Consider the following 18,164-nt stretch of genomic DNA (forward strand, 5'->3'; position numbering starts at 1 on the left):
TTGAGTCTGGAGGTCAAGACCAGCCTGGGCAACATAGTAAGACTCTGTTCTCCACAGAAAGGAAAAAATAAAAACATAAATCTTATTATAAAGTATGTCAACCTAAAAGGAAGGAGCTGAGAAATATTTAATATAGAGAGTTTATTTGGGCCAAGGTTGAGGACACATTTACAAATTGCCTTGGGGAATGCTTGGGGAGAACAAAAGAGGCTCAAGTTTTTAAACAAAAAAGGACTGGCCAGGTGTGGTGGCTTAGGCCTGTAATCTCAGCACTTTAGGAGGCCAAGCGGGGCAGATAGCTTGAGCTCGGGAGTTGAGACCAGTCTGGGTAACAAAGTGAGGCCCACTCCCTCTACAAAAAATATAAAAAATTAGCTGGGCATGGTAGTGTGTGCCTGTAGTCCCAGCTACTCTGGAGGATGAAGTGGGAGAATTGCTTGAGCCTTGGAAGTCGAGGTTGCAGTAAGCCATGTTTGCACCACTGCACTCCACCCTGGGTGACAAAGCAAGATCCTGTTGAGGGGAGGGGAGGGGAAAGGAGGGAAGGGGGAAGGGGAAAGAAAAGGAAGGGAAAGAAGGGAAGGAAGGGAAAGAAAGGAAGGAAAGGAAGGAAGGAAGGGAAAAAGAGAAAGAATGAGAAAGAAAGAAAGTGAGAAAGAGAAAAAGAGAGACAGAGACAGAAGGGAGAGAAAAGAAAAAAAAAGAAAAGAGCATAAATCAGGAGGAGGAGGTGATCACAAAGAGGAGGTGATAACAAAAGTTGTTAGTCAGGAATGTTCACTGGCTTACAGAAATAACATTAGTTAGTGATTGGCTACATATTATGAAGTACAGGATATATGGCATTTTATGGTTACCTGGCATCCCACATAACAGCTGGCTTCAAGAGATAATAATTATTTAGCTCAAGGGGGCGTGACATGATTGCTGTTCTATTTCAATGCCTCTCTGGGCCTGATAATGTAAAGGGGCTCATATTTCTCAGATAAAAATTTCTTTTCTTCTTTTTTTTTCTTCCCCAAGTAACAAGTGTGGAAACAGAACAGAATGCAGAATGATTCATCATATATGGGAAGTTAATAAATGTTGGGGTTGGTATTACAGTCAGTGGGGATAGGATGAACTATTAAAAAATTAGATTTCTCGGCCGGGCACGGTGGCTCACGTCTGTAATCCCAGCGCTTTGGGAGGCCGATGTGGGTGGATCATGAGATCAGGAGTTCGAGACCAGCCTAACCAACATGGTGAAAGCCATCTCTACTAAAAATACAAAAGTCAGCCAGGTGTGGTAGCACATGCCTGTAATCCCAGCTATTCAGGAGGCTGAGGCAGGAGACTCGCTTGAACCCAGGAGGTGGAGGTTGCAGTGAGCCAAGATCGCACCACTGCACTCCAGCCTGGGCAACAGAGTGAGACTCCATCTCAAAAAAAAAAAAAAAGAAAAAAAAAGATTTCTCCCATATACTTACACAAAAATAAATTGTACACGAGCTAAGGATTTAAATGTGAAAGGCAAAATGCTTAAAGGAATAGATTTGGTAATGATTGAGAAGATCCTATTAGATCAACTGCAGAAGAAAACAACTATAAGCTCTGGACAACTCCCTGAAGGTCCTGGAGAGAGACCAAAACCAAGTGGATGTTAGACCTCAATACTTAGAAGGGAGAGGTGCTGGGTGACATTCCGGTTTTATGGTTTTTTGCCTAAGGGCAGGCCCCAGGACAGAAAAACTGGTGAGAAACTACCCATTTTACTGGCTTGCAGAACCAGAGTACTTCATCAAAATTGAAAACGTCTGTTTTTCAAAAGGCACCATGAAAAAATGAATTGGCCAAGCCAGACACTGGGGAAAAATATTCACAATACATATACCTAACCATATATATACATAAAGAATTCCTACAACTCAGTAATCAAAGAGCAAGCAATCAAACTTTTTAAACGAGTAAAATGTTGAGAGTTCTTTGCAGAAGAAGATATATCAATAACAAAGTACAAAGTACAGGAAATAGTATTCAACATACATTAGAAAATCAAACCATGAAATACCATTTGACACTCATTAGAAGGGCTAATTTGAAAGGTCAAATGTTGATGAGGCTGTAAAACAACTGGAACTCCAGTATGTTGCTGATGGGAGTGTAAAATGGTACAACCGCATTGGAAAACTCTGGTAGTTTCTTATAGAATTAAATACATATCTACCATATGACCCAGCAATTCTAGCTCCTCGGTATTTACCTAAGTGAAATGAAAATGTATTTCTTTATTTTATCTATTTTTATTTTTATAAAATAATGTATTTCTGCTGAATGTATTTCTTGTTTTAAAAATGTAATTAACTTTCCACACTACAACAACATAGAAAATGTATTTCTACCAAAATCTTGTACGATAATATGCACGACAACCTTATTTATAACAACCAAAACCTGAAAACAATCCAAATTCCAACAAAACAAGAAAGGGTAAACAAATTGTGACTTATTTGCATAATGCCACACTACGTAGGCGATAAAAAAAAGGATCAACTACTGAGGCACATAACATGAACAAATCTCAAAACCATTATGTTGAGTAAATAAAGCAAGGCATAAAATAGGACCTCCTATATGATTCTGCTTAATCAAGTCTAAGAACAACAAAATTCATTTATGTTTGTAAAAATCAGAAGGTGATGGTGGGGTGAGGGGGAGTGAGAATTGACTAGGAAAAAGCACATGGGAATTTTTCAGGAAGATGAAAATGTTCTATATCCTGACTGGGTAATAGTCATATGGATGTATACGCCTGTCAAAACTCACTGAACTTAAGATCTGGACAACTTATTGTATGTGAACTATACCTCAAAAAAAGAGAGAGAGAAAAAAAAAGTGGTTGACATGTAAGAAGTTTTCAATATATATTAATATCCTTTTTCTATTCCCGTTCCAGAAATACAGTGTAGTAAAAACCAACCTAATTTTACTTCTCAAAAATTGATTCCAAAATATGGGACAGCCACCTGCAAATGCCTAATTTTAAAATGATTCATTTAATATATATGACTTGGCTGGTAAGTTAGTTCGTGGTCATACCAAATGTGTCAAAACTGGAGTTGGCCTTTTATTATACAGTAGTACAATGGAGCAGAAGGAGTATTAAACTGGCAACTGGTTTTGTATTGCTGATTCCAGTATTTAACGGCTTTGTGATTTTTGATGCATCAATACACATCCAAGAGTTTCAAGTTCCTTTATTTGTAAAAAGGGAGATAACGATAACTTCCTTACAGACTACTGTGAGAACCAAACAAAAGCATATATATATATATGTGAATGAAAGCACCCTGGACACTGTAATGGGGAAGTATTTTATAACACAGTAGTGGAACCAAACAGATAAATTAACTAAATAACCTGCTTAAATAGTCTTTCTTTTTATTGACTATTGACTGTATGAATACATACCGTCCATTTCACCTCCGGGCGAGCAAGTGGAATAAATCGTCCATCAAACATGTGAGAAAATGGCCCATGACCTTAAAAACAAAAGCAGCCTTAGAACAAGAAAAACATCTGTAAACCAACAAAAACTTTTTCCTTTTTTTTTTTTTTTTTTTTGAGACGGAGTTTCGCTCTTGTTGCCCAGGCTGGAGTGTAGTGGTACAATCTTGGCTCAACACAATCTCCGCCCCCTGGGTTCAAGCGATTCTCCTGCCTCAGGCTACCGAGTAGCTGGGATTACAGGCGTGTGCAACCACATCCAGCTAATTTTGTATTTTTAGTAGAGATGGAGTTTCTCTACGTTGGTCAGGCTGGTCTCGAACTCCCGACCTCAGGTGATCCGCCCGTCTCAGCCTCCCAAAGTGCTGGGATTACAGGCGTGAGCCACCACACTCAGCCAAACTGAATTCTTTAATCTTTTTAGTTTAACTTGAATAGCAAAAGAAATTAATAATCTAAAAATACAATCACAAAAAGGGACAAACCCTTTCTTCCTATTTCTAAAACAGGAGAACAGGAAGCAGAAACATGGAAAAGTAAGCTCTCCATCGAGCAGTCTCCAGTCACCAGGTTTTACATAAATCTGATAAAAGGGCAGTTTTTGTTGTTTTTTGAAGAGACAGAGTCTTGCTATGTTGTTCAGGCTGGAGTGCAGTGGCTATTCACAAGCATGATCATTATGCACTGCAGCCTTGGACTCCTGACCTCAAGTCATCCTCCTGCCTCAGCCACCTGAATAGCTGGGACTACAAGCATGCACCACCACACAGGGCTTGATAAATGGACAATTCTGTGTAACTAAAAAGAATGTTAATGCCAAAAACTTTTTGAAATCTTCAGATTGAAAATATCTGGATTAAAATAGCAGTTTCAAGAAAATCCACTAGGGCCAGGTGTGGTGGCTCATGCCTGTAATCCCAGCACTTTGGGAGGCTGAGGTGGGTGGATCACTTTGAGTCAGGAGTTCGAGACCAGCCCGGCCAACATGGTAAAAACCCTGTCTCTACTAAAAATACAAAAAATTAGCCGGGCTTGGTGGCGGGCACCTGTAGTCCCAGCTACTCGGGAGGCTGAGACAGGAGAATGGCGTGAACCTGGGAAGCGGAGCTTGCAGTGAGCCAAGATCACACCACTACACCCCAGCCTGGGTGACAGAGCAAGACTCCATCTCAAAAGAAAAAAAAAGGGGCTGGGCGCGGTGGCTCATGCCTGTAATCCCAGCACTTTGGGAGGCCGAGGCGGGTAGATCACGAGGTCAGGAGTTCAAGACAAGCCTGGCTAAGATGGTGAAACCCTGTTTCTACTAAAAATACAAAAATTAGGCGGGTGTGGTGGCAGGCGCCTGTAATACTACCTACTCAGGAGGCTGAGGCAGGAGAATCGCTTGAACCCGGGAGGCGGAGGTTGCAGTGAGCCGAGATTGCGCCACTGCACTCCAGCCTGGGCAACAGAGCGAGATTCTGTCTCGGGAAAAAAAAAAAAGAAAATCCACTGGGGTGCAGGAAGAAAAAATTAGAATTTCTCTTATAACTCTCAAGCTTAAAAAAATCTATCTTTGGCCGGGTGTGGTGGCTCATGCCTGTAATCTCAGCACTTTGGGAGGCTGAGGCGGGTGGATCACCTGAGGTCAGGAGTTTGAGACCAGCCTGACCAATATGGTGAAACCTCATCTCTACTAAAACTATAATAATTAGCTGGGCATGGTGGCATGTGCCTGTAGTCCCAGCTACTTGGGAGGCTGAGGCAGGAGAATGGCTTGAACCTGGGAGGTGGAGGTTGTGGTGAGCCAAGATCGTACCATTGCACTCCAGCCTGGGCAACAGAGCGAGACTCCATCTGAAAAAAAAAAAAAAAGAAGTGAGCCACTTAACTGGAGAGGGAAGTCTACCTAGACTAGCCTTGGCCCTGCTTTGCAAGTCACAGGCTACACATAAAGGCTCGCTAATGCAGTGCTCAGGCTCCTGGGGACTGGCAAAGGTTTCCCAATGATTCTCCCTCAAAATACCAAGAATCCATCAAATTTATCATCTAGGGGCTGGTATTGGTTCTTTGTAAGTCTCCGGGGGACATAAAAAGAGTGCCTACTTGCTTTAAGTATCTGGCTATCCAAACAGTGGCATGCACCTCCCTTCCCCTGCCCTGAGGGTACACACAAACTCTCAGAGTCCCTGAATAAGTAGGAATAAACTATAAGGATAGAGGTAAAAACCCCCATGATTTAAAAGGAACAGTCCCGGCCCAACGTGGTGACTTATGCCTGTATTCCCAACACTTTGGGAGGCCAAGGGAGGTGAATCACTTGAGGTCAGGAGTTCGAGACCAGTTTCAACAACATGATGAAACTGCATCTCTACTAAAAATAGAAAAAAATTAGCCAGGCGCTACTCGGGAGGCTGAGGCAGAAGAATCACTTGAACCCAGGAGGCGGAGGTTGCAGTGAGCCAAGATAGTGCCAACTGCACTCCAATCTGTGTGACAGAGCAAGACTCCATCTCAAAAATAAAAAAATAAATGGGACAGTCCCCTTTCTCTTTGTCACAGGAAAAGGATTATATTCTTTTGCTTGGATTAAAGTGGCCTAAGACCTCACATGGATCAGAAAAGACAAGGAGTTCTCTAAATGTGTTAATCCACTTGGGCAGATTAGAGATTATAAATATGAAAAAAAATGGATTTCACCAAATAACCGAAGGAAAAATGGTGATTTTATTTGATAAGAAGGACAAGGCCAGGCGCGGTGGCTTACACCTGTAATCCCAGCTCTCAGGGAGGAGAGGCGGGAGGATAGCTTGAGCCTAGGAGTTCGAGACCTGCCTGGGCAATATAGCGAGATCCTGTTCTCCACAAAAAGGAAGAAAAAAAAAGACCAAAAAAAAAAAAAAAAATAAGCATAAGAAGGATAAAAGAAAAATAAAATTCACATATCATCCTAAAAGCAGTAGTAAGAAAAACTCACTAGCAAAAAGCCCTTTCATATAACCTGTAGTAAACATGATGGCCGGGCACGGTGGCTCATGCCTGTAATCCCAGCACTTTGGGAGGCTGAGGCTGGTGGATCACCTGAGGTCAGGAGTTCGAGACCAGCCTGGCCAACATGGTGAAACCCCGTCTCTGCTAAAAATACAAAAATTAGCTGGATATGGTGGTGCATGCCTGTAATCCCAGCTACTCGGGAGGCTGAGGCACGAGAATTGCTTGAAACCAGGAAGCGGAGGTTGCAGTGAACCGATAATGAGCCACTCACTCCAGCGTGGGCAACAGAGCAAAACTCTGTCTCAAAAAAAAAACAACAACAAAAAAACCACTTTAGCAAAGATGTTTAACATGAGAAATTCACTGAAAGTTGCCAAGAAAATAAAATAGCAATGTTTTCTACTTATGAATCATTCTAGGAAGAAGCAACAGTACATTTATACTAACATCAACTGAAGAATTAAAATACAATTTCCATATTCTCTTGGTTGATCTGATTTTTTAACGTCAAAGAGAGGTAACATATGTTATGATTTTACATAACAACTTTGTCTCTTTGTACAGCTTACCGAGATCATGACAAAGTCCAGCAATCTGAACACAGAGAACATCTCGTTCACTTATCTGCAGCTCTGGTTGTTTTTCACCCAGTGCGTGAACTAGACATCCTGCTAGATACCCCACCCTGCAGAGCAAAAACACAAAAAGTCACTTTTCTGTTTGCAAGAGGAGTGATAGTTCTGGTCCTCAAGAACTTCAGTATGTTTCCTTAAACATTCTAACATACCTTTAGGGCAACTTTACTGAACAGTATATTTCAGAACTAGGCAGGAACACACACAAACGGAATCCCAAAAGCAGGACCTCTGGCTCAATATCACCAATCATTAGAGGAATGCACATCAAAACCACAGTGAGATACCACTTCACACCCCTTAGGATAGCTACTATTAAAAAAAGAAAACCAGAAAATAACAAGTGTTGGACATGATGTGAAGAAGTTGGAAGCCTGTGCACTGTTAGTGGGGATGTATTATGGTGTAGCTGCCATGGAAAACAGTATGGGTGCTCCACAAAAATTAAAAACGGAATTACCACAGTGATTTAGCAATTTCACTTCTGGGTATACACCCACAATAACGAAAGTAGGTCTTGAAAAGATTGGCTGGGCTCAGGGGCTCACGCCTGTAATCCCAGCACTTTGGGAGGCTGAGGCGGGCAGATCACTTGAGGTCAGGGGTTCGAGACCAGCCTGGCCAACATGTTGAAGCCCCATCTCTACTAAAAAATACAAAAATTAGCTCAGCATGGTGGCAGGTACCTGTAATCCCAGCTATTTGGGAGGCTGAGGCAGGAGAATTGCTTGAACCCAAGAGGTACAGGTTGCAGTGAGCCGAGATCTTGCCATTGCACTCCAGCCTGGGCAACAGAGCAAGATTCCGTCCCCACCACCCTCCCCCCAAAAAAAGAAAGAGAATATATTTGTACAGACATGTTCATAGCAGCACTACTCAAAATAGCCAAGAGGTAAAAGCAACAGGTATCCATCAACAAATGAATGTATAAACAAAATGTGGTAGATACATATGATAAAATATTATTCAACCTTAAAAAGGAAATAAAAAATAATTTAAAAATAAAAAATAAAAAATAAAAAAGGAAAGAAATACTGACACATGCTACAACATAGATGAACTTTGAGGAAATTATGCTAAGTGAAATAAGCCAGTGACAAAAAGACAAATATTATATGATTTCACTAAGATGAGGTACCTAGAGTAGCCAAATTCATAAACAAAAAAAAGAGGGCCGGGTGCGGTGGCTTATGCCTGTAATCCCAGCACTTTGGGAGGCTGAGGTGGGCAGATCACCTGAGGTCGGGAGTTCAAGAACAGCCTGGCCAATGTGGTGAAACTCCATCTCTACTAAAAATACAAAATTAGCTGGGCGTGGTGGCAGGTGCCAGCTACTTGGAAGGCTGTAATCCCAGCTACTTGGAAGGCTGAGGCAGCTACTTGGAAGGCTGCTTGGAAGGCTGTAATCCCAGCTACTTGGAAGGCTGAGGCAGGAGAATCACTTGAACCGAGGAGGCGGAGGTTGTGGTGAGCCGAGATTGCGCCATTGCACTCCAGCCTGGGCAACAAGAGCGAAACTCCGTCTCCAAAAAAAAAAAAAAAAAAAAAGTAGAATGGTAGTTACTAGGGGGTTGCGGGGGGTTGCGGGGGGAGACATGAAGAGTTGTTTAATACGTATACAGTTTCGTGTTTTTTTTTTTTTTTTTTTGAGATGGAGTCTCGCTGTGTTGCCCAGGCTGGAGTGCACTGGCCTGATCTCAGCTCACTGCAACCTCAGGAGTAGCTGGGATTACAGGTACACTCCACCATGCCCGGCTGGTTTTGTATTTTTAGTAGAGACGGGGTTTCGCCATGTTGCCCAGGCTGATCTTGAACTCCTGACCTCAGGTGATCCACTGGCCTCAGCCTCCCAAAGTGCTGGGATTCCAGGTGTGAGCCACTGCACCCGGCAAGTTTGGTTTTGTAAGATGATAAGAGTTTTGGCAAGTTTGGTTTTGTAAGATGATAAGAGTTTTGGCAAGTTTGGTTTTGTAAGATGATAAGAGTTTTGGCAATCGATTGGTTGCACAATGTGAATGCATTTAACCCTACTAAACTGTACACTTAAAAAACACTTAAGACTATGTATTTTCTATTCTGTGTATTTTACCACAGTTTTTTTTTAAAGTAGGAATATCTGGCTTTGTAATGTTTACAACATAATTGGAGATGAAGTACTTAAATGCACTTCCAGCACTTCCATCTGAGCCATTCCTAAATTCTTTTCCCCTGAACTCTGAGCTACATGAGGACAGAGGCGATTGTTATCTTTTTGTGGTTTGGTAGGGCTTAGTAAGGTTCGATAAATATTTGTTGATGAATGAACATTTGAGTATAGACACATGTTGTGCCTAACTAAAAATGCTTCTACACAAACAGAAAACCAAAGTAATATACTGTGAGTACTTCATGAAAATCTCAAAGACTGTCTATTCTTCCCTGTCCACTTCCTCCTGGCTCTACACTGCATAATGGAAATGCAGACCAACGTCTCAGCTTAGTTGTATGTAACAGAGGCATCGCCTTCTCTAAGATTATGAATGCTTTTTTAACTTACGCATTTCCTGACAGGTAAGAAAATGATCTGGTTTGAAAGAGCAACTCTGTACCAGAGTAAATAGAGAATACAGAAAAATTAAATAATCAAATATACATAATTAGTTGTATCAGCAACCGACCCATTAGCTTTTATTTATTTATTTATTTATTTTGAGACTGATTCTCACTCTGTCACCCAGGCTGGAGTGCAATGGTGCTATCTCAGTTCACTGCAACCTTGGCCTCCCGGGTTCAAGCTATTCTCCTGCCTCAGCCTCCCAAGTAGCTGCAGCGTGCGCCACCACGCCTTGCTAATTTTTGTATTTTTACTAGAGACGGGGTTTCACCATGTTGCTCAGGCTGGTCTCGAACTCATGATCTCAAGTGATCCGCCTGCCCCGGCCTCCCAAAGTGCTGAGATTGGCCGGGCACGGTGGCTCATGCCTGTAATCTCAGCATTTTGAGAGGCCGAGGCGGGCGGATCACGAGGTCAAGAAATCAAGACCACCCTGGCCAACGTGGTGAAACCCTGTCTCTACTAAAAAATACAAAAATTAGCCAGGCGTGGTGGTGGGCACCTGTAATCCCAGCTACTTGGGAGACTGAGGCAGGAGAATCACTTGAACCCTGGAGGCAGAGGTTGCAGTGAGCTGAGATCGTGCCATTGCACTCCAGCCTGGGCGACGGAGTGAGACTCCATCTCAAAAAAAAAAAAAGTGCTGGGATTACAGGTGTGAGCCACCACACCCAGCCCCTGTTAGCTTTTAATTAATATTTAAAAACAAATCCAACTGACCTGTCTATAGATACTTTCATTATTTTTCCAGGAAAGATCTGAGGTGGTTAAGAATACATAAAATAAATAAATTGCAACAAGGTAAATAAAAAGCCTCAATTTTGGGGCTGGGCACAGTGGCTCATACCTGTAATCCCAGTACTTTGGGAGGCCGAGGCAGGTGGCTCACAAGGTCAGGAGATCAAGACCAGCCTGGCCAAGATGGTGAAACCCCGTCTCTACTAAAATTACTAAAATTAGCCGGGTGTGGTGGTGGGCGCCTGTAATCCCAGCTGCTCAGGAGGCTGAGGTACAGAACTGCTTGAACCTGGGAGGTCGAAGTTGCAGTGAGCCAAGATTACGCCACTGCACTCCAGCCTAGTGAAAGAGACTCTGTCTCAAAAAAAAAAAAAAAAAAAAAAAAAAAGCCTCAATTTTCTCATCAATAAAATAAGGACATTATCATCATTTTGTAAAACTATTTATTCTCTAAAAGATTAAGACAACTATTTCTTTTTTTTCCTGTTTTCTTTTTCTTTCTTTTTTTTTTTTTTTTTGAGATGGGGTTTTGCTCTTGTTGCCTAGGCTGGAGTGCGATGGTGCAATCTCAGCTCACTGCAACCACCAACCTCCTGGGTTCAAGTGATCCTCCTGCCTCAGCCTCCTGAGTAGCTAGGATTACAGGTGCGCACAATCATGTCTGGCTAATTTTGTATTTGTAGTAAAGATGGGGTTTCACAATGTTGGCCAGGCTGGTCTTGAACTCCTGACCTCATGTGATCCACCCACCTCTGCCTCCCAAAGTGCTGGGATTATAGGTGTGAGCCACCATGCCTGGCCTAAGATAACTATTTCATGAGACAGAGAAAATACTTAAAAACTGCAAGTTCCCCACCCCATTCCCTTCTTACCCTAGACTATGCTCAAATCGATTGTGTGAAGCTCCTGGAAAAACATAGTAACCACCTCCCAGCTGTTTGATGTATCGAAGACGTTGAAATTGAGGTGTATCAATGATTCGGACGAGGAGAGGGTGGAGCTCAATGTGGCCATGGATAGGATCATTAATTACCTAGAAAATTATGTTTAATTAATACAAATAACGACATGTAAGTCCAACTGAAATTTGTGTGCAGCCATTCCTAATTATAGTGCAAAGTCAAAGCTATTTGATTTTTCAAGTAAAAATACTAACGGAAATGACAAGATGTTAACATCATTACCTTATTTAGGTATCACTACCAGACAGATCAAGTATATTGGATTTGAGTATATTTTACTTCTTCCTAATGGATGTGAATAACAGAAAAATAAGGATTTTGATTTTTTATTATGTATATGACTTAGTCTTTAATAAGTTTGTCTTGTATTCAAGTTAAACATGCATATTCATTTCGATTTAAACACATTCATCCACATCATGTAACCCATATCACTATAGGTATTATGTCTAATTTTTTTTTTTTTTTTTGAGACAGAGTCTCACTGTGTTACCCAGGCTGGAGTGCAGTGGCACGATCTCAGCTCACTGCAACCTCTGCCTCCCAAGTTCAAGCTATTCTCCTGCCTCAGCCTCCTGAGTAGCTGGGACTACAGGGGTGTGCCACTATGCCCAGCTAATTTTTGTATTTTGAGTAGAGATGGGGTTTCACTATGTTGGCCAGGCTGGCCGCGAACTCCTGACCTCAAGTGATCCGCCCACCTCGGCCTCCCAAAGTGTTGGGATTACAGGCGTGAGCCACCGTGCCCGGCCTAAATTTTTTTTTTTCTAAATGTATCTATACAGCACTCATCATTAAAACAGAAAAGAAAGAAGGGAGGCAGGGAAAGAAAGAAAGATGGAAATTCCTCTACCATATAGATAAGAAATCATGCAGGTCCGAGTGCAGGTGCTCACATCTGTAATCCCAGCACTTTGGGAGGCCAAGAGTTTGAGACTAGTCTAGGCAACATAGTGAGACCCCATCTTTAAAAACAAAAATGCAGTGGCGCACATCTGTAGTCCCGGGTACTCTAGAGGCTGAGGTAGGAAGATCCCTTGAGCCCCAGGGGATCAAGGCTGCAGTAACCTACTATTGTGCCACAACACTTCAGCCTGGGCGACAGAGAGAAACTCTGTCTCAAAAAAAGAAGAAAAAAAGCAAGAAAATAATTTTGTACAGCTGAACAATGTGTTTATGTGTGTGTGTTCTTTTTGTTTTGTTTTTCTTAGAGATAGGGTCTCGCTTTCTCACCAGGCTGCAGTGCGTTGGCTATTCACAGGCACAATCATAGCTTACTGTAGCCTCAAACTCCTAGGCTCCAGGGATCCTCCTGCCTCAGCCTCCCAAATAGCTGGGACTACAGGCATGTACCACCATTCCTAGCTAATTTATTTTTATTCTTTGTGGAGACAAAGTCTTGCTATATTGCCCAGGCTGACCTCGTGTCCGCCCGCCTCAGCCTCCCGAAGTGCTGGAATTACAGGCATGAGCCACCGCGCCTGGCTAAAATCTACTTTTAAACCATTTAAGGACCTAAAAGCCTTCACTGTAAATTTTTCAGGTTGTAATAACTGTCTTTTTTGTTTGTTTGTTTTTTGAGACAGAGTCTAGCTCTATCACATAAGCTGGAGTACAATCAGGGCTCATTGTAACCTCTGCCTCCCAAGTTCAAGCGATCCTCCCACCTCAGCCTCCCAAGTAGCTGGAACTATACCACGCCTGGCTAATTTTTCTTTTTTTGGTAGAGATGGGGTTTCTGGCAGGGCATGGTGGCTCATGCTTGTAATGCCAGCACTTTGGGAGGCCAAGGCGGGTGGATCACCTGAGATCAGGAGTTCACGACCAGCCTGACCAACATGATGAAATCCCGTCTCTACTAAAAATACAAAAATTAGCTGGGCGTGGTGGTGGGCGTCTGTTATCCCAGCTACTCAGGAGGCTGAGGCAGGAGAATCGCTTGAACCCAGGAGGCAAAGGTTGCAGTGAGCTGAGATTGTGCCACTGCACTCCAGCTTGGGCAACAGAGTGAGACTCTATCTCAAAAAAAAAAAAAAAAAAGATTCATTGATACATTTGAAAAATTAGTCCTCATTATGTCAAACACTGCACTCCCTCTTCACCATTACACAATCTCAGCTTCAGAGGCCAACTGAACTAAATTTAGCATAAAGAACACTGTGTCAAGAACAAACCATGGTGACCTTGGGTTCGGCAATGGTTTCTTAAATATGACACTAAAAGTACAAGACACAAATGAACAAAAAAAATATAAATTGGATTACATAAAAACTTAAAACTTTTGTGATCCAAAGAACACCATCAAAAAAGTAAAAAGACAACCCACAGACTGGGAAAAAATATTTGTGTATCATATCTCCCATAAGGATTTACATCCAGAACATATAAAGAGCTCTTACAACTCAAATCAAATTGTGTGTGATTGAACAACACTGTGAACTTTCTAAAAAGCACTGTCTTGCATACTAAAAATGAGTGAATCATACAACTTGTGAATTATATCTCAATAAAGCATTTATGTTTTAAGTATCAAGTTAGGTAGGTATGAAATTAGGGTAGAAATCCTTGAGGTCTGCAACTGAGTAGCAAACTAGGTCAATTCTTGTTGAACTGCATTGCTGATGAAGTTAAATTCATTTAAGGTATTGATTTCATTACTAAGCCGTGATTCAGTAGTTTGAAAATCTATTTCCAACAACTGTCATTTATAATTTATAAATGAGGTTAAACAATGTTGGTTTGTTTTTTTTTTTTTTTGAGACAGGGTCTCACTCTGTTGCCCAGGCTGGAGTGCAGCGGCGTGATCATGGCTCACTGAAGCCTCCACCTCCCCAGGTTCAGGTGATTTTCCTATATCAGCTTCCCAAGTAGCTGGGACTACAGGTGTGCACTACCACACCCAGCTAATTTTTCTATTGTTTTCTATTGTTTGTAGATGGAGTTTCACCATGTTGCCCAGGCTGGTCTTTGAACTTAAGGGCTCAAGTGATCCACCTACCTCAGTCTCCCAAAGTGCTGGGATTACGGGTGTGAGCCACCATACCCAGCCAACAATGTTCTTTTTACAGAAAAATAGAAAGAATAAAAGTGGGCAATTGAAACCACTGACTGCCTTAAATATTACCTCAAAAATATATTATTGGCTGGGCACGGTGGCTCATGCCTGTAATCCCAAAACTTTGGAAGGCCGAGGCAGGCAGATCACGAGGTCAGGAGTTCGAGGCCAGCCTGGCCAACATGGTGAAACCCCGTCTCTACTAAAAATACAAAAATTAGCCGGGTGTGGTGGCATGCACTGGTAATCCCAGCTACTCAGGAGGCTGAGGCAGGAGAATTGCTTGAACCCGGGAGGCGGAGGTTGCAGTGAGCTGAGATCACGCCACTGCACTCCAGCCTGGGCAACCGAGTGAAACTCCCTCTCAAAACAACAAAACAGGGACAGGCACGGTGGCACGTGCCTGTAATCCCAGCACTTTGAGAGGCTGAGGCGGGTGGATTATGAGGTCAGGAGATCGAGACCATCCTAGCTAACGCGGTGAAACCCCATCTCTACTAAAAATACAAAAAATTAGCTGGGCATGGTGGCATGCGCCTGTAGTCCCAGCTACTCAGGAAGCTGATTTAGGCTGAGGCAGGAGAATCACTTGAACCTGGGATTTGGAAGTTGCAGTGAGCCGAGATTGCACCACTGCACTCCAGCCTGGGAGACAGAGCAAGACTCCATCTCAAAAACAAAACAAAACAAAACAACAACAAAACATTATTATATAGTTGAACCAAAAATGTTCATTAAATTTTTTCAGATGTGATTTTCAATAGAAAATAAGCCTAGAACGGGCTGGTGGCTCACGCCTGTAATCCCAGCACTTTGGGAGGCCAAGGTGGGCAGATCATGAGGTCAGGAGTTCAAGACCAGCCTGGCCAACCTGGTGAAACCTTGCCTCTACTAAAAATACCAAAAAAAAAAAAAAAAAAAAAAAAAAAAATTAACTGGGCGTGGTGGCAGGTGCCTGTAATCCCAGCTACTCAGGAGGCTGAGGCAGGAGAACTGCTTGAATCTGGGAGGCAGAGGTTGCAGTGAGCTGATACCATGCCACTGCACTCCAGCCTGGGCAACAGAGCGAGACTCCCTCTCAAAAAAAAAAAAAAAAAAAAAAAAAAGAAAAGAAAAGAAAAAGAAAATAACCGGGTAGGCCAGACGTGTTGGCTCATGCCTGTAATCCCAACACTTTGGGAGGCCAAGGCAGACGGATCACATGAGGTCAGGAGTTCGAGACCAGCCTGACCAATATGGCGGAACCCTGTCTTTACTAAAAAAAATACAAAAACTAGCTGGGCATGGTGGTGTGCACCTGTAGTCCCAGCTACCTGGGAGGCTGAGACAAAAGAATCACTTGAAACTGGGAGGCAGAGGTTGCAGTAAGCCAGATTGTGCCACTGCACTCCAGCCTAGACAACAGAGCAAGACTCCATCTCAAAAAAAGAAAGAAAGAAAAGAAGTCTATAACTTGCAAAAGCAAAATTAAAATATGTATTCTTATAGAGAGGGATCTGAAATAACTCAAATACTATACATTACATCTATTTTTTAAAAAAAGTGAAAAATGCAAATGATGATCGGGCAAAAAAGTACAAAAAAAGAAGATATCCTACATCTTCTCCCAGGTCTGAAACTAAGTTTTCTTAACCTAGGAATGTCAAAAGAGTAAATAAGGTCTATTTCCTGTCACTAACAAAACAAGAAACATTTCATCAAGTATGGTTTTAGAATCACTCTGAAGAGCTTGTGAAAAATGCACATTCTGGCTGGGCGCAGTGGCTCATGCCTGTAGTCCCAGCACTTTGGCAGGACGAGGTGGGTGGATCACTTGAGGTCAGGAGTTTGACACCAGCCTGGCCAACATGATGAAACCCCAACTCTACTAAAAATGCAAAAACATTAGCCGGGTGTGGTGGTGTATGCCTGTAATCCCAGCTACTTGGGAGGCTGAGGCAGGAGAATCACTTGATCCTGAGAGGCAGAGGTTGCAGTGAGACAAGATAGTGCCACTGAGCCCCAACCTGGGTGACAGAGAGAGATTACATCTCAAAAAGAGGAAAAAAAAAAAAAAAAGGCCAGGCTCTGTCTCAAAAAAATAAAGTTTAAAAATATGTAAAACAATACTATACATTGTTTATGGATATACATAAATATGCAATAAGAGTAAAAACCATTCATGACAATGATAAACATCAAATTCAGGAAGATGCTTATTACTTCTAGGGAGAAAAGGATAGAAACATAATAAATAGAAACAGGGCCAGGCGTGGGGGCTCACATCTGTAATCTTAGCACTTTGGGAGGCCAAGGCAGGTCAATCTCTTGAGCCCAGGAGTTTGAGACCAGCCTGAGCAACACAGGAAGACCCCGTCTTTATAAAAAATACAAAAATTAGCCAGGTGTGGTGGCATGCACCCATAGTCCAAGCTACTGGGGTGGCTGAGATGGAAGGATCACTTGAGCCAGGGAGACGGAGGTTGGAGTGAGCTGAGATTGCACCACTGTACTCCAGCCTAGATGACAGAGCAAGACCACATTTCATTAAAAAAAAAAGAATGTACAAAGGAGGTCTTCAATAGTTTCTAATATTTTGCTCTAAAAATAACAGACTTGAAGCAAATTAGGCAAAATATTAATATTTGACAAGTTGGGTAGTGGTCTACTTATGCTTTTCTGTATGCTTAAACATATTTTAGTTCTTCTTCTGATTTAAATACTCTGTGCTCATTTTAGAAAGTGCAGAAAGTTTAGAAAAGATCCACTACTCACAATTCTATCACTGAGAAGCAGATTTCCTCCTATTCTCTTCAAAATGAATTTTACATAATTGAGTTATATCACTTTATATTCAAAAAACATAACAAACTCAGATCCTCTTACCTTCATTGTATCAACGTGGATTTGAACCAATCGCTGGATATAACTAAGCAGCTTCTTCCTCTCCCCCAAGGAACTAAAATTACAATAGGATAAGCAAGTCTATCATTATTTGCTTAATAATAATCCCTGCAGTATATAGTAGACATAATAAACTTTATATTATCTACACTAACAGAAGTTAGATTGGAAGGAACAATCAATAATTCAAACATACCCCTCCTAGAAACTCTCTCCTTCCTTTGCTGTTAAGATAGGGAACTCTCCTGCTGAATCAATATAGGCCTCCCACAGCCTTCTGTCCTTGACCCTCCTCTCTCTTGGTAAATTTAAGACTTGAAAAACTCCACATCTCCATGTCTACTCAATGCTCAAACTGTACTTCCTTTTAACCAAACTGAAGTCAACATCTACCCTCATAATCCTGGATTGATTTATGAGCACCAGGTATGACTCAAGCATGAATGAAATACATATGAAGGCTTTAACTTTATTTATATTCATTTTCCATTGTCAGTACTCCCTCACAATGCTCCAGTTTCAAGAAAATACATAATGGGAATTAAATTTGAGCAGCTCGAAGTCCTGTGATTCATTATCCTGCTTCATTTACAATTACTAGTTGGGCCCAGCATATCATCCTCCCTCCTGGCTGGGTGTCAACAGAGAGTGCAGGCAAAGGGTTTTACTGATCTACTAGATAACCAGATTGAAAAAAAAGTATCTTTCTACAAGTCATACATAGACTGGGAGTCAGAGGCACTACATTGGCCTCTATGGTACACACTGAACCCATGGTAATAAGAACACTTAAGAATAATATCTTGGGATACACAGAAGCATTATTACAGCTGATAAAT

General features: G+C 42.0%; 1 protein-coding gene across 3 annotated transcripts in view; it reads right to left on the bottom strand.

Moving 5' to 3' along the window:
- SAMHD1 (SAM and HD domain containing deoxynucleoside triphosphate triphosphohydrolase 1) overlaps window positions 1-18,164 on the bottom strand; it is a 61,936-nt gene that overhangs the window by 33,959 nt on the left and 9,813 nt on the right. For all 3 annotated transcript variants that reach the window (NM_001363729.2, NM_015474.4, NM_001363733.2), the window contains exons 3-6: window positions 17,308-17,380; window positions 11,298-11,458; window positions 7,029-7,144; window positions 3,451-3,521 (exon numbers count right to left, since the gene is read on the bottom strand). In NM_001363729.2, the coding sequence (NP_001350658.1) occupies window positions 3,451-3,521; window positions 7,029-7,144; window positions 11,298-11,458; window positions 17,308-17,380 (421 nt within the window). The remainder of the gene's footprint in view (window positions 1-3,450; window positions 3,522-7,028; window positions 7,145-11,297; window positions 11,459-17,307; window positions 17,381-18,164) is intronic.

Source organism: Homo sapiens, chromosome 20 (genome assembly GCF_000001405.40).
Source record: "Homo sapiens chromosome 20, GRCh38.p14 Primary Assembly".
Lineage (NCBI taxonomy): Eukaryota > Metazoa > Chordata > Mammalia > Primates > Hominidae > Homo > Homo sapiens.